General features: G+C 44.1%; 1 protein-coding gene across 2 annotated transcripts, besides 1 other annotated feature; it reads left to right on the top strand.

Moving 5' to 3' along the window:
* Positions 3,810–5,009: an enhancer, noted in NCBI's record as "CDK7 strongly-dependent group 2 enhancer chr2:220199445-220200644 (GRCh37/hg19 assembly coordinates)". NCBI's record gives its function as "activates an origin of replication core promoter dependent on BRD2, BRD4, P300/CBP, MED14 and CDK7 cofactors, with strong dependence on CDK7, by STARR-seq in HCT116 cells {active_cell/tissue: HCT116}" and the evidence as "EXISTENCE:reporter gene assay evidence [ECO:0000049][PMID:35650434]".
* Positions 6,555–12,325, top strand: RESP18 (regulated endocrine specific protein 18). 2 transcript variants are annotated; one of them, NM_001007089.4, is made up of 7 exons: positions 6,555–6,571; positions 6,994–7,208; positions 8,857–8,961; positions 9,968–10,095; positions 10,480–10,569; positions 10,724–10,808; positions 12,169–12,325. In NM_001007089.4, exons 1-7 carry the CDS (start codon positions 6,555–6,557, stop codon positions 12,213–12,215), a joined length of 687 nt encoding a protein of 228 aa, NP_001007090.3. In that variant the 3' UTR covers positions 12,216–12,325. The 2 variants fall into 2 exon arrangements, with proteins under 2 accessions (NP_001007090.3, NP_001428628.1); NM_001441699.1 differs by lacking the exon at positions 6,555–6,571 and having other exon boundaries at positions 6,988–7,208.
* The last annotated feature ends 11,476 nt before the right edge of the window (positions 12,326–23,801 follow it).

Genomic DNA, 23,801 nt, shown 5'->3' with positions numbered 1-23,801 from the left:
TTGTGTCCCCTCAGATCTTTCTTCTTCTTCTTCTTCTTATAAAGCCACCAGTCCCATCATGCGGGCCCTACCCTGATGACTATATCTAATCCTAATTACCTCCCAAAGGCCCCCTTCCAATCAACATATGAATTTGGGGATTGAGTTTACAACACATGGTAATTTGGGGGATATATTCAAACCATAGCAGAAACCATCTTAGTCTGTAGACTACTTTGGGGGGAAGTTTTAACATGAATTCAATTTCTTGTTGTAAGATCATTTAAGTTATCTGTTTCATCTTGGATGAGTTTTGGTAGTTTGTGGTTTTTAAGGAATTGGTCCATTTCAACTAAGTTGTGAAATATATGTACATAAGAGTTGTTTGTAGTATTCCTTTATTATCTTTTTAATGTCTATGGGGTCAATTTGTGATATCTTTCATGCCTGATAATGGTAATTTATGTCTTTTTTTGGTCAGTCTTGCTAGAAGTTTATCTTACTGATAAATATTTTATCAACCTGTTCAATAAGGCAGCTTTCTGTTTGGTTGATTCTTTTTCTGTTTTCAATTTTATTGGTTTATGCTTTTATCTTTAGTTTCTTCCTTTAGATGACTTTCCCAATACAAGCATATAATGCCATAAACTTTGCTCTAAGTATTCCTCTAGCTTCATCCCACAAAATTTGATGTTTTCCTTTTTGTTCAGTTCAAAATGTTTTCTAATTTTCCTTAAGACTTCCTTTTTGACCTGTGTATTACTTAGAAGTGTGGTTTTTAATGTTCAAGTATTTGGAGACCTGTTATTTTTTGTTATTTATTTTTAGTTTAATTGCATTATGGTCATAGGGCAAATCTGTATAATTTCAATTATTTTAAATTTAGTAAAGTTTGTTTTATGATCCAGGGTATGATGCAGGATGTGGGTATATTCCATTCTGCACTTGGAAAGAATGTGTACTCTGCTGTTGTTGGGTGGAGTGTTCTGTAAATGTTAGAATCTACTAGTTGGTAGTGTGATTAAGTTCTTGTAAGCCTGCTGCTTTTACGTCTACTAGTTCTCTTGATTTCTGAGAGAGAAATGTTGAAGTCTCCAAATATAATTATGGATTTGGGACAGGTGAGGTGGCTCATGCCTGTAATCCCAGCACTTTGGGAGGCCGAGGCAGGTGGATCACCTGAGGTCAAGAGTTTGAGACCAGCCTGGCCAACATGGCGAAAACCCATCTCTACTAAAAAATACAAAAATTAGCTGGGCATGGTGGCAGTCACCTGTAATCCCAGCTACTCAGGAGGCTGAGGCATGAAAATCGCTTGAACCTGGGAGGCAGAGGTTGCAGTAAGCCGAGATCATGCCACTGCACTCCAGCTTGGGTGACAGAGCGAGACTCTGTCTCAAAATAATAATTATTATCATTATTATTATTATTATGGATTTGTCTATTTCTCCTTTTATAATTGTTCATTTTTGCATCATGTATTTTGAGGCTCTGGTGTTAGGTACATACACATCAAGAGTTCTATGTCTTCTTGATGACTTGACCCTTTTATCATTATGTAATGTTCCTCTTTATCCCTGGTATTTTTCTTTGTGCTGAAGTCAATCTAACATTAATATAGCTACTCCAGTTTTTATTTGATTCATGTTAACACATCATACTTTTTCTCATTTGTTTACCTGTAACCTATCTACATACATAGTTATATTTAAAGAGAATTTCTTGTAGATAACATGTTGTTGGGTTATTTTTTAAAGCCATTCTGGTCATTTGTCTTTAAATCTATATGTTTAGACAATGTACAATTATTGGTATCTTTGGATTTACATCTACCATTTTATTGTTTCTTTTCTGTTTGTTTCCTCTTTTTTTTGTTGTGTTGTTCCTTTCCTCCCCTTTCCTTCTTTAGATTATTGGAAAACTTTTAAATATTCTATTTTAATGTATCTGTTGTAATTTTTTACTATATTTCTTTGTATAATTTTTTCAGTGGATGCTCTAGGGATTACAGTGTACATACTTAATTTTTCCAAGTCTACTTTTAATCACTATTTTGCCGTTTTAAATGTAATATAGAAATCTTACCAGCATACAGATCTCTTTACCTTCCCCATTTATGCTGTAGTTGTCTATTAGAATCAATTACATTTACATACATTGAAAATCCTATCAATGTTATAATTTATGCTTTTTTTTTTTGACAGGTTGCCCAGGCTGGAGTGCAGTAGTGTGATCATAGCTCACTGCAATCTCTATCTCCTGGGCTCAAGTGATCTTCCTGCCTCAGCATTCTGAATAGCTAAGACTACAGGCATGCTGTCCCATCAGAACCAGCCCAGTGAATTTTTTTTTTTTTTTGGGGGGAGTGTCTCACACTGTGACCCACGTTGGAGTACGATGGCATGATTTCAGCTCACTGCAACCTCCACCTCCCAGGCTCAAGCAATCCTCCTGCCTCAGCCTCCTGAGTAGCTGGGACTACAGGCACACACCACCACACCCAGCTAATTTTTGTATTTTCTGTAGAGACAGGGTTTCGCCATGTTTCCAGGCTGGAATTTTTTTAATTTTTAGTAGAGACGAGGTCTTGCTATGTTTCCCAGGCTAGTCTCCAACTCCTGAGCTCAAGTGATTCTCCTACTTCAGCCTCTCAAAGTACTGGGATTACAGGTGTGAGCCACTGTACCCAACCTTATTATTTATTTATTTATTTATTGAGACAGGGTCTCACTCTGTTGCCTAGGCTGGAATGCAGTAGTGCGATCATGGCTCACTGCAGCCTTGACCTCCCTGGGCTCAGATAATCCTCCTTCCTCAGCCTCCTAAGTAGGACTACATGTGTGTGACACCATGCCTGGCTAATTTTTTGTTTTTGTGTTTTTGTTTTTTGGGTTTTTTTTGGTAGAGACAGGGTTTTGCCATGTTGCCCAGGCTGGAATTTTTGCTTTTAACCAAACATATTTTACATAACTCACAAGGGGAAGAATAGTCTATGATATTTATTCAGACACTTGTCATTTCTGTTCCTCTTCTTCATTCCTGATGTTTCTACTAGCAATTAATTATCTTAGTTTTTCTTCATCTGAGAATATCCTTATTTCACTTTCATTCTTAAAGTATATTTTTGCTGGATATAGAATCCTCAGTTGGCAGCTCATTTCTCTCACAACTTTAAAGATGTTATTTCACTTCCTTCTGGCCCACATGGTTTATAATGAAAAATTCAGTTTTCTGAATCCCATTGTTCTTTAGTCGTGTGTTGTTTAAGATTTTTTTCTTTGTTTCAGTGTTTAGAATTTTTGATTATAATGTGTCAAGAGTATAGACTTCTTTGAGTTTATTCTATTTGGCATTCCTTAAGCTTCTTTAATCTTTAGGCTTATGTCTTTTCACACATTTGGGAATTTTTCAGAAATTATTTCTTCAAAATTTTTGTGTGTACTGCACTTTATCCTCTTAATCTGGAATTCCAATGACATTAATTTTGGACTTTTGATATTGCCCTACAGGTCCCTGAAGTTCTGTTAACTTTTTTTTTCCCAATGTTTTTTCTCTCTCTTGTTCTGATTGGATTATTTCTGTTGACCCATCTTCAAGTTGACTGACTCTTCTGTCATTTCTATCCCGCTTGGAGCTCATCCAGTGAGTTTTTATTTTAGTTATTATATTTTTTCATTTCTCAAATGGCACTTTAGAAAAACAAACAGAACAACCAGTGATAGGAGATGGGATTGGAGAAATAAGTCCAAAATTGCCTAGACAGAGCTCTGTAGGCAACAGTAGAGCGTCCAGATCTTATGCAAAGTACAGAGGAAAAATCACTGGGGATTTTAAGGAAGGGAATAGAATTATGTGATATATAATTTTAAAAGGCTACTTGAGAATATATTGATAGGGGAAAGAGTGGAATCAATAGATCAGTTAGGAAGTGTTGTCTTGGTCCAAGAAAGACTGTGGTGGCCTGGGCGAGGCAATCACAGGAGCCTAGCACCTCTATCTGGCCCTGCACTGCCCCAACAGGCAGCCTGAACCTCAGGGGGCTCTAGATCCTTATGCTTCCAAGGAAACTGCTTCTTGATTCCTGTCACCATGGCAGCTACACTTCTCCTACCTGGATTGGTCGCTGGAGTGGCATCATCAGCACTAAATGACTGATCCTCACAATAAGAACTGGTTGTCATGGTGCTACCAATTATGCAAACAAGAATCTGCCTTTCTTCTGCAGGCTCAGCGTCCTTGACTAGCTCTGTACCTAAGGGAAAATCAGGGAGAGAGAGAAGATCATGACGTCGGAGCCAAGGGGAGGCTAGCTGTCAGGTGGTTGCTGAGTCACTATTCCTCAAGACTTGCCCAAGTCAAGACTGCAACTAGAGGCCCTTATATAGTGGGGTGAGGGGAGCTTACACTGTGGAGGGGGAGCCCCTGGCACATATACACACAAATTCCAAATCCGATTTTCCTCCCATTTTAGAGCTTCTTTGAACTGTTTCCTTCTCTGAGCAAAACTTTGTCACAGATTGAGGCCTTCCTCCTCTCCCAGCCCCATTACCCTGCAGAGAGGCAGTTTTAGGACAACTTGCTACTGGATTTTTTAAAGTGAGTTTTCATGAAAATTCTTTAAGCAGGCTTGTCTGCAAGTAAGACAGTGGGCCTCAGCCAGAGCTTCTGAATTAAAATATGTAAAGCCAGAACAGAGAGGACATTTGGGGTGGGGATTGAAATAGTAAAACTCCTTGGTACACATGGAGCCTAGGCTTCTGATCTCCTTCTCCTTCCGGACATCATTTGTAACATGAATGTAAGACAGAGTAGGACCACAGCTGAATTACAATCTTCCTTCGCCCACTCTCCCCAGCTACACTTTATGGTAGTCTTTCTTTCTTCTTGGGAAAGAAAGTTCCTTCCTACGAACCCCTGGTTCAATAGGCCTGAAAACCTGCTAAGTCTTCTGAGGGTATTACTCTTAGCATTAGAATCCCTTCCAATGAACAGTAAAAAGAAGAGCAGCATCAATGCTCCTGTACATTTATCATTTTGATAGCCATTCTCCTGGTGGTTTAAAATCTTAAAATACAGAGAGGAGCACACTCACCTTTGTTCAGCCGACCCAAAGACCAATATTTCCCTTTTTCCAGGAGCATTATACTTCACAAAGCAGGTTCACGTTCATTTGCTCTTAGGCCTCAAATTATTGCTATAAATTTATTTTAAAATAGCATGTCCAGTACATAATCAGTGACAACCAGATAAACCTCTAGTTTTTGGCGTGACAAGACAGAAACTTGTGTCGGATCCTCCTAACATTGGGTATATACTCTAGGCAAAATATAAAAATAACTGTATGAAAGCATGGAGACTGATCAAGAGTTAGAAACCTACAGGGAGTATAGTCCTCAAAAAAAGGAAGTCCACCAAGTGACTTATACATGTATAGGCTTTTCCTCTGAAGATACTTCAGAGTTCACTGCAGTACACAGGGAAACAGCTCTGTCAGCAACTGGCAGTCTTACTAAGGAAACAGCTTTTGGAGTACAGAGATGCCAGAGCATCTGGAAATTGAGGAAGAAATTTAGAAAATGAATAAATTACAGAGAGAGGAACTCAAAATCTGCATCCTAACTCCCCTCCAATTCTTAGCTATCTTCTAAATGGCACTTGCGCAGGGTGAGATTTCAAGGAACCTAGTGAAAAAGTCAAATATCTGAACAGAGATTTTGGCAGCTGTCACAGTGTTAGGGTGACTGAGTTTGGAGTTCAGGACCCGTAAAATAGAGAGTTTTGGTAAATGACTTTGGGTTATGTTGAAATCCAAAAAGGACCACACCTTAGCCATAAGCACCATATCCCAGGACTAAGAGATACAGGCTAGAATTGAGAATAGGATGAAGTACTCCTTCCCTAACCAGACTGCCACAGGATCAAGACTTTTTACCAAAAATTTAATTGCCTGCCAGAACAAACTCAAACTATTACCCTTTAAAGATAATAATATAATTCAGATCCTTTGTAATGTATCAACCCCAAATGTTCACTATACAAACCCTTAGGTTTAAGTAATCCACTATCTCGACCTCCCAAAGTGCTGAGATTACAAGCATGAGCCACCATGCCCAGTTTAATAAATGTTTTAAGCTTAATGAAAAAAAATTTAAATGCCAGTCTAAGAGTTAGAAAGCTCACAAACTAGCTTGTAAGTACACAAGAGTGAAAGCAAGAGGTCAGTTAGCTAGTTAGTTACTACAACAACTCAATTTAAAAGAGTACAGTGTCCAAGGCCTGGCATGGTGGCTCATGCCAGTAATGCCAACACTTTGGGGGGCCAAGGTGGGAGGATTGCTTGAGCCTAGGAGTTTGAGATCAGCCTGGGAAACATGGCAAAACCCTGTCTCTACAAAAATAAATAAATAAATAAATAAAATTGGCTGGGCATGGTAGTGTGCACCTGTAGTCCCAGCTACTCTGGAGCCTGAGGTTGAGTAGAGGTCGAGCGGAGGTTGTGGTGATCTGAAATTGCAAGACTGTCTCAAAAAAAAAAAAAAAAAAAAGTACAGTGTGCAGTGGTTTGGACCAAGGCGATGGCAGTGGATGTGGAGTAAAGTGGATGGATGTGCCATATATAATATATAATATATAATATTATATATATATATATAGCAGATCGAACCTATATGATTTCTAAAGGGTTTTAAGTGGGCCAGAGTAAAGAGTGTCAAGGATAATAAAATAAACTAAATTCCTTGAGTGCCTACTGTTTCATCGCTGTTCATATTTGATTCTCACAACAAACCTGAGTAGGTACAACTTGCACCCGTATCTTACGTGCCATCCGTTTCTGCAGCCTTAGGACTGGGAGTACAGGCGGTGGTTCTTGGGACCCAGCTAATGCCCGAAAGGAGCCGGGTCAGGAATTCCAAGAGATGAGGGTGGGGAGGCGGTAGGGGAAGGAGCTGGGGAGGCGACCGCAGGGGCAGGGCCCGCTCACGATTGGCTGAACTGCCGAGGAGGGTTAAACAGATTCGGAGTCGCGGGCTGGTGGGAAGCTGCAGCCCCGCTCAGCCCCTCGGCCGTGGCCGCTACCTTCACTGAGACTTGGCCGGGGAGTGAGCGCGCCGAGCCTGGGAGGATACAGCACCCACTGTGGCCTGGGAGCTCCGAGGGGCTCCAGCTGCTTGTCTGCTTCCTGCTGCTGAACAGCTGCCCGGGGGGCTGCAGCGACACTAGTGCCCACGGTCAGGAGGAACCCTGGGGGGTGCGGGCAGGGCCAAGAAAGCGATCCTGAGAAGTGGGGGTCTGCAGGGGGCCTCAAGGCTAGGAAACTTGGAAGTAAAAGAATGTGCTTAAGGACGTGAGAAGAGAAAAAGGTAGACAGCGTCTAGCGGAAAGAGGCATAGGCTTCAGATAGGCTGGGCATATGGGGTCTGGACTCACGAGAAGTGGGTTCAGGTGAAAATTGGGGATTTGGGAAGAGGTCAGAAAGACAAATGAACAGAGAGAGGTAAAACTGGCCTATGTGGCCACAGGAGAAGCAAGAAAGGCCAGAAAAAGAGTTGACCAGGGCTGCGGGTATCGGGGTCTTGGCTCCAGGGAGAAGGCTGGGCCAGGAGACGAGCCAGGGCTTCCTCGTGCTGTGATCCGGTTTCCAATAAGGGGACCGCTGAGGGAAAGCAGGATGGAGGGGGAATGGGACCATCCTTCTCCCCTTCCCCCGCACCAATCCGCGTAGACCCCGCGCTGACTCACGTGCCAGACTGCGCACACTCGAGAACTCCTGCGCAGAGCGCATGGGGAAGAGAGCGCAAACTCCTAGTCTGTCGCCCCCTCTCCCTGATTTTTGGTTTTAGAGGCCAATGCAGCGGATTCAGGAACAGCTGTGGGAGGAGGCCTGGTGGCAATGAGAGGATGAGGGCCGTGGGGAAGGACCGCCAAGCCTTGCGGAGATGTCTCGCCCACATTCCGCCCAGCGCCGCCGCCACGCTGGCCTCCCCACCTCTCAGCACCACGGACAGCGCCAGGCGCGCTCCGGGTCCACGCCGAGCCCGAGCGGGTCACCACTCCTTCCCACCAGTCCTGGGAACGCTGCCTCAGAGAATCAGCTCCCCTTCCCGAAGCTCTTTCCCTTCTCCTCAGGGTGTTGGAGGTTCCACTACTTCCTTAAGGAGGCTTTCTCATCCCCAAATGTCTCTACTTAAAACTTTGTCACGCTTACCCCCAGGAAATTATTAGACATCCATTTGACTGGGTAGGAGAATTCCCTTTTCTAAAGACCTGTCCAGAATGGCTCATGGTAACTACACTATAGCAAAAAACAGACTGTCCTCCAGCCCTATCTCACTGATCTGGAAGAAGGAAGGTGTGCATAGCATTAGGGGTTCTCTTCCCCAACCCCTGTCCTTCCTCTCATGCACAGTTGGGCAAACTGTGGGCTTCAGGAAAAGGATCCAGAGCCTCAAACCCTAAACAAACCAATACCTTTTCTAATGATTCCAGGCCTCCTCCCTAACACTTCCAGGCTTCAATGACTTCCCTAAGATGAAGCTCACCTGTTTCCCCATGCCCCACCTACCCACCTGATTACTATTCCCATGTGCTCAGCTTTCTGAGCCTCTGCGCATCTGAACTTCTACAGGCTGCTCTTTGTAAATCTGGTTATCTGTAAGTTGGTACCAAGAGTGAATGAGGCCCAGGGGTTGAAGAATATGGCAAGTGGTGATGGAGGAAGGGAAAAATTAAAGAAGACTTGAAGTGGACAAAGCGGCCTGGTAGTGGGAACAGAGGTCAGGGGTCCAGGAGTGACAGTACAAGGAAGCTGCTTCTCTTCAACTGGGATGTGGAAGGCTCTGGCCAGGTTCCTTGCTGACACCACTATTTTGCCCTTAGATGGTCAGGACCAAGTAGGAGTGGGGCAGCTTTGGCCCCTCCAAGGATTTGCCACCCCAGTCTTCCAGCATTTACAGGTTGTGCTCCAGCAGATTATACCCCAAGGTAAGTAAAAGCTGGAGAACAGAGGTTGGGGCCTGGTTAGAGATGGGGAGGGGGGAAGAGGGGCTATCCGACCTGAGGGTAGGCTTTCTGTTCCCCAAATGTCTCTACTTAAAACTTTGTCACATTTACCCCCATGGGGATGAGACAGGAGTAGGAGTGGGATCTGGATGGGTGGACTATTTGCACTAGAACACCTTGGAAGAGCCCAGTAAAGGCTTCTAGGGAAAAAAAAAAACAAAACTGAAAACGGCCAGCATCCAACTCCTTGAGACTAGTCTCCCCCCAACCCCAGCACTATATGAGCTTTTCCAAAGCCAGGACTCTTCAAGTTCTCAGACAGGAAAACACACACTTCAGCCTCTGAGTAGGAAATTGTATGACAAACAGATGGGAGGAATGAAAGGGAGTGGAGAGTCCATTGGCAACATGTGGCTGACCCTGTCTCACAGCAGAGTTTCATGAATGTTGGGGAGGAGACAGTCAGCTAGGAAATCTTCCTTGAGTTCATATTACTGCTGCTAACACTAATATGTGCATAGTGCCTTAGAGCAGTAGTTCTCAAAGTGCACCCCTGGACTGGCAGCATCAACCTCGCCAGGGAACTTGTTAGAAATGGGAATTTTTGAACTTCACCACAGACCTACTGCATCAGAAGCCCTAGGGGTGGGAAACAGCAGTCTGTATTTTAACAGACCTTGCAGGAGATTCTGATGCACATGCTAAAGTTTGATAATCACTGCCTTAGCATTTTCTAAGCACTCTTTATATTCCTAACCTCATTTAATCCTCACAATAGCATCAAATGAACCAGCAAAGAGACTGTAATCATAATCCTAATTTGAATATTATATGCTAGGCACTATGCTAAGCAACTTTAATACATCATCTTGTTTAATTCTCTGTAAAATGTAATCTAATATATACTTGAGAGAAAGGTTACTCTGATCCCTGGAGTGGATCCGAGTGTCTCAGGTGTCAACTCACCCCCCATCCTTTCATCCTGCAGGTCTGTTCTGGAAGGATGACATCACCCAGGATGCAATGATCCAAAAGATGGAGCATGCCAGCAGACTGCATCCCCAAGAACCATGCCTGAAGGATGGGAAGGCACTTTTCCCCACTAAAACCACTGAGGTGAGGTGCATGAGGCCTGTGGTCATTCCAAGCATTCTGGCAGACAGACGGAACAGGGAAGGAATGTGTGCTAAAACTGCAGGTAGAAGTTGCCAGGAGCACTGTGAGAATTCAGAGGTCCTGTTTGGAATCAGCAGAGAAGAATTTCATGATCCATTAGTGATATCTGCAAAGGGAGGGGAGGTGGGTGTGGCAAGCCTAGGTCCAATTTGTCATTCCCTGTCTCTTCTAGCAAGAGGAGAAACTTCAACTCCTATTCCCCAGTGAGACTCACGTATCTTCTCAAGAATTGTGAATCCCTGACTTTGTATCCAATTGCTTTTCCTGTGGGGCCCTCTCACCCTTTTCTGCCTCCTCCTTGACTCCTGGTTTCCCTCCTCACAGAGCCCCCTGGCCAAGGTGAACAGGGATCAGTGCTTTACCTCCGAAGTGGTTTCTAAGGCCCTGAAACAAGAGGTGGCCAACCCTGTCAAGGTGAGGGGCTCACTTTTTCTAGGGAGGTTGGACCTGTTTAAATGAGGGAGGCAGATAGGAAGAAGGGAATGGGCATTGAGGTGAGGGCAGATCGCTGCAGAAAAGATTTTTCCATTCCTAATCAAAGGTACTTCTAATTTCCTGTATCTCTCAGATTACCTATAGGTGTTCATATGGGGGGCTGGACATGATGCAGGCGCCGGGACCCTCTAAGGAAGAAATTATCTATAAGATCATGCGTAAGTATTGAGTTTAAAATAGGCATTGAAACAGCAGAGTTTTCAAAATTAAACGTCCTTTTTGCCATATATGCCCTTGTATATAGCACATGATAGCAACACTCCCTTGATGAATGGGAGGTGCAGCTCAGAGACCCTCACATTCAGCCTCCCCCTTGCTCTACTCTATGGCCTGGGCAAGTCACCCAGGCAAGGCTCTGAGACATCTCCTTGGGATCTTTGAACTCTTCAGAATCCAGAATGGAAACCGCCCATCTAGTACTCCCATCCATCTTTATAGATGAGAAATTGGGGCCCAGGCCATGGGACATACTCAAGGCAACACCATGGGTTTGTGGCAGAGCCAAGACTGGACCCAGGTCTCCTGATTTCCAGCTCTTTCCCCCTGCATAGTCCCTGCCCTTCCACTCAAGAACTGCAGTGGGATTTGGCCATTCCAAACATCAGACTCCTCCACACTGAAAAAAGAGGTTTTTTTTTTTTTGGACTAAGACCTAAATTATAAGGTGGCAACCAGAGGAAGATGTAAAGGAAGGGCATCTGAGGCAGACAGCATTGCCACTACGAATGTCCTGAGACACCCATACCATGTCATGTTAAGGAACAGACAGAAAAGTCAGTGGTCAAAGATGAGGGTGGAGAATTAGGCCCAGGACTGACCACACAGGGGCTCACAGATCATAGCAAAAGGTTTGAATTTCATTCTAAGTGCAGTGGGAATTTAACTGGGAAATTTTAAGGAAAGGAATGTCACAACGTGATATGATTTTAAAAGGCCACCCTGGTGATGTTGGGGAATGAACTGTAAGGAGAGCAAAAGTGAAAACTGAGAGGTCTGTAAGGAGGGGCTCATCCTGGTCCAGGGAGACCGAGGTGGCTTGAATTTGGGTGGTGGCAGTGAAGCAGGGCACCCCCGGCTGGCTGCACCCTCCATCTAAAGGCAACCTGCACCACAGGGGGTTCCAGCTCCTCATGCTCTCCAAGGAAACAGATTCCTACTTCCATAATGTGGCAGCTGGGCTTCCTAAGCCTGGATTGGTTGCTGGGGCAACATAATCAGAGCTCAGTGACAGAAGTGACAGAGACCTACCTGTGGGGGACTGGTTGCCCTGGTGCTCCCAGGAATAATGCAAACAAGAAGCTGCCATTCTTCTCCAGACCTAAGCTTAAGGGCAAACCATGGAGAGACAGGGCTACATGTGAGACCCAAGGGGACAGGCTCTCAGTTGGTGAGCTGTCACCATGCTGAAGGGTTACTCAAATCAGGCTGTTACTACAGTATTTGTGGAAGGAGGGCAGATGAGGGAGGAGCCACTGTCTCACATCCTGACTCTAGCTCCCTTGTTTCTTCTTGTTTTAGGGCTTCTCTGGGCCACTTCCTACTGTGGGCCGCAACCCTGTGGCTGATTGAGACCTCATGTGAAGCCTCCCTGCCCCAGCACCCTTCCCATTGCCCTTCAGAGGAGCAGTTCTTGGATGACCCAGATTTGAATCATTAAAGTAGACTCTCATGCAAACACTGAGTTTGTCTTGAGGCAAGATGGGTGGGGGTTGAACTTGGCCAGAGCCTCCAAACAGAGGGAGGTGGGACCAAAACATGGGGTGGGGATGAGGGGAGCACAACTCTTGGCTGATGGAAGACTGGCTTCTGTCTTGTTTTCCTTCCACTGATAATTCCCGGAGTGGGGAAAGTGAGAGTGAGACCACAGCTGGAATGGCAGCCCCCCTAACCCAGCCACATCCCAGCCACACTGTGTGGTCTAGTTGCCCATCCTTTCACGTTACGGGGAGGTGGACTCCATATTCATTTCTTTTACCCCTCATGCCAGACAGGCCTGGACCCTGCTGTTTTTTGAGGGTCCCCACCTCCAGCATTATAGCCCCTACCAGGCTTTCCCACCCATCCTGTCTACAAGGACCAACAGATCAGTGCTGAGGTCAGAGTGTACGCACACTGGACATTCTGATCATTCTTGCTAGTTTGCTCCTGGTAGCTTAAAATCTTAAAAGGGAGTTGGTAATCTCACCACCTATGTTCAGCCAACAACCAAACACTAGAATGTCCTATTTGCAGAGCTTTATACATTTTGAAGCACTTTCACACACGTTGGAGGCTCACAGGTGTAAGCAAATGGGCAGGTATCAAGACTGGGTTTCTTGGCTGTGCACAGTGGCTTACACCTGTAATCCCAGCACTTTGGGAGGCCAAGGCGGGTGGATCATTTGAGATCAGGAGTTCAAGACCAGCCTGGCCAACATGGTAAGACCCTATCTCTACTAAAAATACAAAAATTAGGCTGGGCACGGTGGCTCATGCCTATAATCCCACACTTTGGGAGGCAGGGCAAGGGGATCACCTGAGTTCAGGAGTTCGAGACCAGCCTGGCCAACATGGTGAAATCCCATCTCTACTAAAAATACAAAAATTAGCTGGGCGTAGTGGTGCACACCTGCTATCCCAGCTACTCAGGAGGCTGAGGCAGGAGAATCACTTGCACCCAGGAGGTGGAGGTTGCAGTGAGCTGAGATCACGCCCTTGCACTCCAGCCTGGGCAACAGAGCAAGATTCCATCATAAACAAACAAACAAACAAAAATTAGCCGGGCATGGTGGCGCGCTACTCAGGAGGCTGAGGTAGGAGAATCGCTTGAACCTGGGAGGCAGAGTTGCAGTGAGCCAAGATCACACTATTGCACTGCAGCCTGGTCAACAGTGAGACTCCATCTCAAAAAAATAAACCAAAAACAACAACAAACTGGGTTTCTCTAAGGAATTGGAACTTGGCCACACCACATCTTCCCCATTTAAACAACCCAGAGAAACTACACGACTAGTTCTTAATGATCCAGATTCTCAGTCATGCTACTGTGGTTGCCCTTTCCCTTCTTGTTATGTTCAAGAACGTAGCTAAAGCCAACGTTAGATCAGTCATACTCATTCGTACCTAGTTCTCATCAAATCAATTAACCCCTGCCACTCATCCTTCTTTTCTTCTTAAGCCTTCCTTTCTCACTCATTTTCAAACATGTATGTAATCATGTGCTTCACTGTGCCTGGCCTTTATGCTGAGTCACATATTTGGTTCCTGCCCTCAAAGACCTTTAAGAGTAGTCAGGGTGGGGTGCGGTGGCTTATTCCCATAATCCCAGCACTTTGGGAGGCTGAGGCAGGCAGATCACTTGAGCCCACCTAGTTTGAGACCAGCCTGGGCAACACGGCAAAAACCCATCTCCACAAAAATACAAAAATTAGCTGGGCATGGTGGCATGCACCTGTAGTTCCAGCTACCTGGGAGGCTGAGGTGGGAGAATCACTTGAGCCCAGGAGGTTGAGGCTGCAGTGAGCCATCATTGTGCCACTACACTCCAGTCTGGGTGACAGAGTGAGGCTGTTTAAAAAAAAAAAGTCAAGAAAGCAAGCCACATATAACATAGCGTCATTCAGTTATCTATAAGGAGTGAATGCAGTGGATGCCCCATCCCGTATCTCCTGGCCTGCATCTCCATTTGCCTGCAGCTGCAGGTGGACAGTTCTTGAACCTGTCAACCTTCCCACCTCATGCCCCGGGATTCTGCTTCTCATCCTGCAGGCTTTCTGGAATGCCAAGGGACTGCCCAGCTGTGCCCCAGGCAGCCCTGAAGCACCTGGGAGGTAATGCCCCTAGAGGCAACTCTCAATCAGTTAAGGGCCAAATTTAGTGCAAAAATATCCCAGATTCCACCAGCCCTTAGTGAGAAATGTTCAGTATGATTCTTCAGAGGGTGCCTAGTGAGATTCAGCCTAGTCGCCCACAGTGGTAACCTGTTCAGCAACACACTTATTATTGGCTTTTCTTCCTTCTTTGGCTTACTTTCCCTGTCCTTCATCTGTGATTTCTGGAATCATCTCCCACAGGAACCACCTGCACCCAAATTATTCATTCATTCATTTTTGAGACCCAGATCTCGCTCTGTCACCCAGGCTGGAGTACAGTAGTGCAACCATAGCTCACAGCAGCCTCAGTCTCTTGGGATTCTTCCACCTCACTTGAGCCCGAGAGACTGAGGCTGCTGTGAAAAATTGGAAGAATCCAATTCCTCCACCTCACTTGAACCTGAGTAGCTGGTACTACAGATGATCACCACCACACCTGGCTAATTTTTTTTTGTTTTTTAGTAGAGACAAGGTCTCACTATGTTCCCCAGGCTGGTCCCAAACTCTTGAGCTCAAGCAATCCTCCTGCCTTGGCCTCCCAAAGTGCTGGGATTACCAGCATGAGTCACCATGCCCAGCCCAAGTTCTTGTCTCAGTCTGCTCTTGGGTCCACCCAGACCAAGCCTACTATGTGCCAGACACTCTTCTAGGCCCTGGGGATACAGTTGTGAACAAGTCAGAGTATCCACTGCATGGATTTGGTCATAAATCATTGACTAACTGCCTGGGTATAGGGCAGAATCTAAGCAATTTATCTGGCCCACAGAGCATTCAAGTTCTTGTCTCACCAACCTCTTCAAAACTGCAGTGTTTCCCCCATCCTGCTGTCCTATGTGCACCAGCAATTCAGCCCTATTTGCATTTCCCCAAACATACCCAGCTGTTTTATGCTCCTGGGCCCTTGTATCAGCAGTTCCCTCTGCATATAAGTGTCCCATCCCCAGCACACCTTGTCAGTCTTACCTGAAAAATCTAAATTCTCCTCTGTGGTCCATTCCCTGACCCTCGTAACATCACCCCCATGCCCAGAGCAAAGTTGCAGAGGCTGGAAAAATAAAACCTATAGGGGACATTAAATAATCTGATAATTCTGGGACATGGTGAATGGGTAGGAAAGATGGGGAGTTTTTAGAAAGGAAGGCAGGTTCAGTTCCTATTGCAGAGGACCAGGTTATCTGATTTGGGTAGTATCTGATAGGTAATGAGGAGACACTAAATGTTTTTGAGCAAGAGAACACAATGAAAGTTGTGCTTAAGCATAGCCTTACATTTCTGTTTAAGGATGGATTAGAGAGCAGGAGAAAGTGGAAACATTTTAGAAAGACTGTTGCAATGGTGGGGGTGTCCCATACACGACCTGAATGGACTGAAAGAGGACATGTATGAGAGATATTTTGAAGGATGAGTTAATAAGCCTTTGCAACTGTTACAGGTTGAATTCTGTCCCCCCACCAAAAAAAAAAAAAAAAAAAAAAAAAATCATATGTTGAAGTCCTAATCCCCAGTACTTCCAAATGTGATGTTATTTGGAAATAGGGTTGTTGCAGATGTGGTTGGTTAAGATGAGGTCATTAGGACGGACTCTAATACCAATCACGGTATCCTTATAAAAAGAGGAAATACACAGTGGCCAGTGCTTGTAGTCCCAGCTACTCAAAGGCTGAGGCTAGATAATCGCTTGAGCACAGGAGTTTGAGACCATCCTAGGCAGCAGAGGGAGACCCAATCTCAAAAAAAGCAGGGGCAGGATTTGAAGACAGCCATAGCTAGAGCAACGATGATGTGAAAAGATAAAGGGAGATGGAAGCCATCTACAAGGCAAGGAGAGAGTTCTGAAACAGATTCTCCCTCACAGCTCTCAGAGGGTATCAACCCTGCCAACAGCTTGGTTTCAGATTTCTAGCCTCCAGAGCTGTGAGACCATAAATTTCTGTTGTTTAAGCCACCCAGTCTATGGTACTTTGTTACAGCAGCCCTAGCAAACTACTACAGATGACTGGGCTTTGTTGAGAAAGGAGGCTTACCTGAATTTAGAGATTTTGTGACTGATGGAATAAAAGTGCCATTCACAGAATACGAATATCTGGAGAATTAGTTGGAGAAGGAAAATTGATTTACTCTTAAGAGTTAAAGCTGGGAGCTCATTTAAGGACATCACACAGTTGTGTCCTCCGGTCTCTTTCCTACTTCATTACCTTTTCTTTGGATGTCTCATCATTTTTGTCAACACATGCTGTAATATCTTTTATATTTATTTTTTCCTGAATTTCTGCTTCTGGTAATGATGCACTAGGTCATTACCTCAAGCCTTTTGGATGTCTGATCATTTTCATCAACACATGTTGTTATATCTCCCATATTTATTTTTTCCTCAATTTCTGCTTCTGGTAATAATGCACTAGGTCATTACCTCAAGCTCATACTCCTCAGGCCCTTGCTGAAGACAACTTGTCTTAGACTGATTCCTCCCAAAGTCAAACTGCAAAATAAGGGCTTGTATAGAGGTTGTTTAGTTTGGGAAGATATCACAAGATCAAGAGTGGAAGAATGAAAAGAGCGAAACAGGAGGGCTTGGAAAGCTAATTTAAGGGTGCAAGAATGAGTTGTAGGCCACTGGGAATCAGTTCTTCTGGGGACTCTTTAAGCATCAGGTACAAGATATACCCTACAATTGTCCTTCGGAAAGAGAAGTATTTATCTAGTTTCCATCCGCCATTGGATCAAGAGTTGACCTATGGGATGTTAATTTCCTCATACTTCCAGGTTTTTCATGGATGAGAATGACTGAACAGATTCCCAGGAGTGCCTAATGCTGTTGTAGCAGAGCAGACTCAAATCAAAAACAAGAGATATTTAGTGCAGGTGAGGCAGGTGGTGTCAAATGATTTAGTGCAGGTGGCTGCAGCAATGGCTGGAGTTAAAAGATAACTCAGGCCAGGAAAGGTGGCTTACACCTGTAATCCCAGCAATTTGGGAGCCCGAGGCAGGCAGATTGCTTGAGCTCAGGAGTTTGAGACCAGCCTGGGAAACATAGCAAAATCACATTTCAAAAAAATATGTAAAAATTAGCTAGGCGTGGTGGTGCGTGCCTGTAGTCCTAGCTACTTGGGAGGTTGAAGTAAGAATTACCTGAGCCCAGGAGTTCAAGGTTGCAGTGAGCTGAAATTACAGCACTGCATTCCAGCCTGGGCAACAGGGTGAAATCCTGCCTCAAAAAAAAATGTGGGTGAAAAATTACCAAAATATTTTTTAAACCATCAAGGAGCGAGCAAGAGTGAGGAGAAACTGACACAGAAGAAGATCCAAGAAAGGAACAGAATCCAGAGATAGAAGATCCAATGTTCAGGGTTGCAATGGAGAAATTTTCCATTCTTAGGAGGTAGATGACCAGCCCGGGCAATGCAGTGAGACCTCGTCTTAACAAAAAATAAAATTAGTGGGGCAGGGCAGCACACACTGGTAGTCTTAGCTACTTGAGAGGCTGAGGCAGGAACACTGATTGAGCCTGGTAGGTCAAGCCTGCAAGAAAGCCAAGGTTGCACCACTGCACTCCAGCCTGGGTGACAGAGCAAGACCCTCTCTCGGCAGTGGGGGGAAAAAGCCAAGAAAAGACTGATTTAGACAGCCTGTGGAGCTAGAGGAGTAGATGTTAGAATCCAGGGCTTGTGAAAGGAAGAATTCTAGTAAACTTCTCCGTGTTTTGGCCTGGGAACAAGAAACAAACTCCAAGCATAAAGATAAAAAAGTAAAATTAGCTGGGCATGGTGGTTCATGCCTGTAATCCCAGCTACTCTGGGAGGCTGAGGCAGAAGAATCACTTGAACCCAGGAGGTGGAGGTTGCAGTAAGCTGAGATCGTGCCATTGCACTCCAGCCTGGGCAACAAGAGTGAAACTCTGTCTCAAAAATAAATAAATAAATAAATAAATAAATAAATAAATAAATAAATAAGTAGTAACCCTTGCTCAGTCTGCAGTATGGCTGTGAAATTGGATTAAGGTTATATTAGATTGCTAGTGCTTTCAGGCACCTGCAGACATAAATGAAAATCCATCAAAACTTTAAATTATTTCTACAGATAATTTTCCAAATACTATGCTCTGCACAATAGATAACAAAAACAGACTCACAGTGATTTCAATGAAAAACATTGGTTCCAACATAAAACATCTGTGCTTGCTATGTTCAAACCTACAAAGACCAAACTATAATTTTTGACAGGAAACCAGAAACCACAAAGTTTTTTTTTTTTTTGAGATGGAGTCTAGCTCTGTTGCCCACGCTGGAGTGCAGTGTCCAGGCATGGTGGCGTATGCCTGTAATCCCAACACTCTGGAAGGCCAAGGCGGGTGGACCACCTGAGGTCAGGAGTTCGAGACCAGCCTGGCCAACACGGTGAAACCCCCATCTCTATTTAAAAAATAGAAAAATTAGGCTGGGCATGGTGGCTCACACCTATAATCCCAGCACTTTGGGAGGCCAAGGCATGCAGATCACCTGAGGTCAGGAGTTCAAGACCAGCCTGACCAACATGGAGAAACCCTGTCTCTACTAAAAATACAAAATTATCCAGGCGTGGTGGCGCAAGCCTGTAATCCCAGCTACTCGGGAAGCTGAGGCAGGAGAATCGCTTGAACCCAGGAGGCAGAGGTTGCGGTGAGCCGAGATCACGCCATCGTACTCCAGCCTGGGCAACAAAAGCGAAACTCCGTCTCAAAAAAAAAACAAATACAAAAACAAAAATTAGCTGGGTGTGGTGGCTCATACCTGTAGTCCCAGCTACTCAAGAGGCTAAGGCACGAGAATCGCTTGAACCCAGGAAGCAGAGGTTGCAGTGAGCCGAGATTGCACCACTGCAATCCAGCCTGGGCAACAGAGTGAGACTTGGTCTCAAAAAAAAAAAAAAAAGTTTTTTAAAAGAACTAAATATGCCAAAATACATGTGGCAAAAACTAATCGGACTTAAAGGAGAAATAGAAAAATTCACTTTTATGGTTGGAGATGTCAACACCACTCTATCAGTAATAGATGAAGCAAGCAGAAAATCTATAAGGCTATAAATGATCTGAACAGAACTGTGAATCAACTTGACCTAACTGACATGTAGAATACACCGTCCCAAAACTGCAAAATAACATTCTTTTTCTTCTAGAGACAGGGTCTCACTATGTCACCCAGGCTGGGGTCCAGTTGTGTGATCATAGCTCACTACAGCCTTGAACTCCTGGGCTCAAAAGATCCTCCTGCCTCAGCCTCCTGAGTAACTAGGACTATAGAGTGTGCCACCATGCCTGGATAATTTTTAAATTTTTGTAAAGATGGGGTCTAGCTATGTTGCCCAGGTTGGTCTTGAACTCCTGGCCTCAAGTGGTCCTTCTGCCTCAGTCTTCCAAATTGCTGAGATTATAAGCATGAACCACTGCTTCCAGCCAAAATATAGTCTTCTCAAGCTCACAAATTTTCACCAAGACAGACCACCATAAAAACACACCTTTACAAATTTACTTATTTTTATTTTTATTTTTTTTTTTTTTTTGAGATGGAGTCTCACTCTGTTGCCCAGGCTGGAGTGCAGTGGCACGATCTCGGCTCACTGCAAGCTCTGCCTCCTGGGCTCACACCATTCTCCTGCCTCAGCCTTCCGAGTAGCTGAGACTACAGGCACCTGCCACCACGCTCGGCTAATTTTTTGTATTTTTTAGTAGAGACGGGGTTTCACCGTGTTAGCCAGGATGGTCTCGATCGCCTGACCTCGTGATCCGCCTGCCTCAGCCACCCAAAGTGCTGGGATTACAGGCGTGAGCCACCGCGCCTGGCCATTACAAATTTAAAAGAATAGAAATTATACAAAATATGTTCTACTTTAATTCCATTGTGGTTGGAGAAGTCAGTAACAAAAAGACAGCTCAAATATCTGAAATCCTCAAATATGTGAAAAACAACACCCTTCTAAATAACCCGTTGGTCAAATAAGTTGAGATATTTTATTTCATTTTATTTTTATTTTTCTCTTTTTGAGACAGTCTTGTTCAGTCACCCAGGCTGGAGTGCAGTAGTACAATTTTGACCCACTGCAACCTCCACCTCACCTCCCGAGTTCAAGCGATTCTTGTGCCTCAGCCACCTGAGTAGCTGGGATTACAGGCATGTGCCACCATGCCCAATTAATTTTTGTGTTTTTAGTAGAGATGGGGTTTTGCCATGTTGGCCAGGCTGGTCTCAAACTCCTGACCTCAAGTGATCTGCCAGCCTCAGCCTCCCAAAGTGCTTGGATTACAGGTGTGAGCCACTGTGCCCCACCCCAAGAGAAATTTTTAAATTAGACAAAAATGAAAATACAAATTATCACAATTTGTGGGATGCAGTAAAAGCACTGCTTAACGGGAAATGTATAGTGATGAATGCATATATTAGAAAATCAGAATAATCTAAAATCAATGACACTGGCCTGGTGCAGTGGCTTATACCTGTAATACCAACACTTTGGGAGGCTTAAGTGGGAGGATCACTTGAGGCCAGGAGTTCAAGACCAGCCTTGTCAACATAGTAACACCTAGTTTCTAAAAAAAAAAAAAAAAAAGAAAGAAAGAAAGAAAAATAGCGGGGCTTAGTGGCACACACCTGTAGTCCCAGCTATGCAGAAGGATTGCTTTATTGAGCCCAGGAGTTTGAGGCTGAAATGAGCCATAATCACATCACTGTGCTCCATTGTCAGCAACAGAGAAAGACCCTGTCCCAAAAAAAATACAGGCGTTGGTTGGGTGCAGTGGCTCATGCCTGCAACCCCAGCACTTTCGGAGGCCGAGGTGGGCGGATCACTTGAGGTCAGGAGTTCAAAACCAGCCTGGCCAACATGGTGAAACCCCATCTCTACTAAAAATACAAAAAAATTAGCCAGGCGTGGTGGTGTGGGCCTTAAATCCCAGCTACCGGGAAGCTGAGGCAGGTGAGTTGCTTGAACCGGGAGGCGGAGGTTGCAGTGAGCCAAGATTGTACCACTGCTCTCCAGCCTGGGCTGGAGAGTAAGACTCCATCTCAAAATAATAATAATAATAATAATAATAATAATAATAATAAAAAAATATGGGCATGGTGGCTCATGCCTGTAATCCCAGCACTTTGGGAAGCCGAGATGGAAGGATCACTTGAGACCAGGAATTCGAGACCTGGTTAACATAGTGATACCTCATCTCTTTAAAAAAAAAAAAATTATTATCATTAATTATTAAATAAAATCAATAAACTAAGTTTACATTTTAGGAAACTAAAGAAACAATAATTTAAGCCTAAAGCAAGTGGAGGAAAATGAATAATAAAAATCAGGGTAGAAACCAATAAAATTTACAACAGGGAAATAATAGAAAAAAATCAATGAAACTCAAAAGCTGGTTCTTTGAAAAAAAAAAAAGAATTAAATAGAAATTCTAAAACTTAAAAATACAAGAACCACCTGTAATTCCAGCACTTTGAGAGGCCAAGGTGGGTGGATCATGAGGTCAGGAGATTGAGACTATCCTGACTAACACCGTGAAACCCTGTCTCTACTAAAAACACAAAAAATTAGCAGGGTGTGGTGGCGGGCACCTGTAGTCCCAGCTACTTGGGAGGCTGAGGCAGGAGAATGGCATGAACCCAGGAGGTGGAGCTTGCAGTGAGCCGAGATCGTGCCACTGCACTCCAGCCTGGGCAACAGAGTGAGACTCCATCTCAAAAAAATAAAAATACAAGAACTAAAATTTGTAATTCATTAATGGGCTTAACTACTGAAAGAGAATTGGTACCAGAAGATAGGTAACATTTCAACCGCTTAGTATATTCCTAATGGAAATGAGCACTATTTTCACACTCACACACACACACAATACACACTAAACAATATGCAAAAATGTTATTAGTAATCTTATACAATAATCTCCAAACTGGAAATCACCCCAAAGTCCATCAATCAGTGGGTAAACGGTGGTATATTCATATAAGGAAATATTAAACTATACACCGATAGACACAGCAACATATATAAATGTCATAGACACAAAAGAGTACACACTTTTTAAACCAAGTTCAAAAAGTAGCAAAGCTAATCTGATTGACATCAGCATAGTGCTATGTAGGGGTATACTGACTGGTTAGGAGCATGAGGGATACTTCTGGGATGCTGGAAATATCCTACATATTGATCTAGGTGGTGGTTACAGGGTTTTATATATATGCTATGTGTATATAATTACAGAGCTGTAAACATAAGTTTGTATACTGAATGTAAATTGGACTTCAACAATAAATCATATCTACCTGCCTTAAGAAAACAAAATAACAGAACCTTTCAAAATAAAAATGTGAAAGATGAATAAAAGATGTTTTTGAAAAGATGGATGGTTTGCTTTACCTGATATCAAGACTTAGTATGAAGCCATAGTATTTAAGAAAGTGTGCTATTGATGTAAAGACAGTCAGGTGGATCTAGAAGACAAAATAAACCAGCTTGGGCAACATGGTGAAACTCCATCTCTACAGAAAGTACAAAAATTAGCTGGGCATGGTGGTGCACACCTGTAGTCTCAGCTACTCGGGAGAGGCCGAGGTGGAAGGATCAGTTGGGCCCAAATGGTCGAGGCTGCAGTGAGCCATTACCATGCCACTGCACTCCAGCCTGGACAACAAAGCAAGACCCTGTCTCAAAAACAAAACAAAAATAAAGAGCTCAGAAATAGACCCACAATGATGTGGACACTTGATTTATAGATTTATATTAAAGATGGCACTACAGAGAGGAGAGGGTAATATTTTCAGTAAAGAGTACAGAGCCGAGCACAGTGGCTCACGCCTGTAATCCCAGCACTTTGGGAGGCCGAGGCAGGCGGATCACAAGGTCAGGAGATCGAGACCAACCTGGCTAACACGGTGAAACCCCGTCTCTACTAAAAATACAAAAAATTAGCCAGGCGTGGTGGCGGGCGCCTGTAGTCCCAGCTTCTCGGGAGGCTGAGGCAGGAGAATGGCGTGAACCTGGGAGGCGGAGCTTGCAGTGAGCCGAGATCACGCCACTGCACTCCAGCCTGGGCGACAGAGCAAGACTCCGTCTCAAAAAAATAAAAAAAATAAATTAAAAAAAAAAAGAGTACAGAAACAATTAGGTATCTTTGTAGAAGAAAAACTCACCTTTACCCGTAGCTTACAGCATACACAAAAATGGAATCTAATGGATTATAGACCAAGTATTCAACAATGAAGAATTTAGAAGATAGTGTAAGAATAACCTCATGACCTCAAAATTAAAGGTCGTGAAGTTTTCTTAAAGAGG

This window comes from Homo sapiens, chromosome 2 (assembly GCF_000001405.40).
Source record: "Homo sapiens chromosome 2, GRCh38.p14 Primary Assembly".
Classification (NCBI taxonomy): domain Eukaryota; kingdom Metazoa; phylum Chordata; class Mammalia; order Primates; family Hominidae; genus Homo; species Homo sapiens.
This window is presented reverse-complemented; position numbering and strand designations above follow the sequence as displayed.

Coding starts and splice junctions, on each gene's coding strand:
- RESP18 (NM_001007089.4), top strand. Junction 8,962..9,967: donor CCAGCAGATTATACCCCAAG/GTAAGTAAAAGC, acceptor TTCATCCTGCAG/GTCTGTTCTGGAAGGATGAC. Junction 10,096..10,479: donor TCCCCACTAAAACCACTGAG/GTGAGGTGCATG, acceptor CCCTCCTCACAG/AGCCCCCTGGCCAAGGTGAA.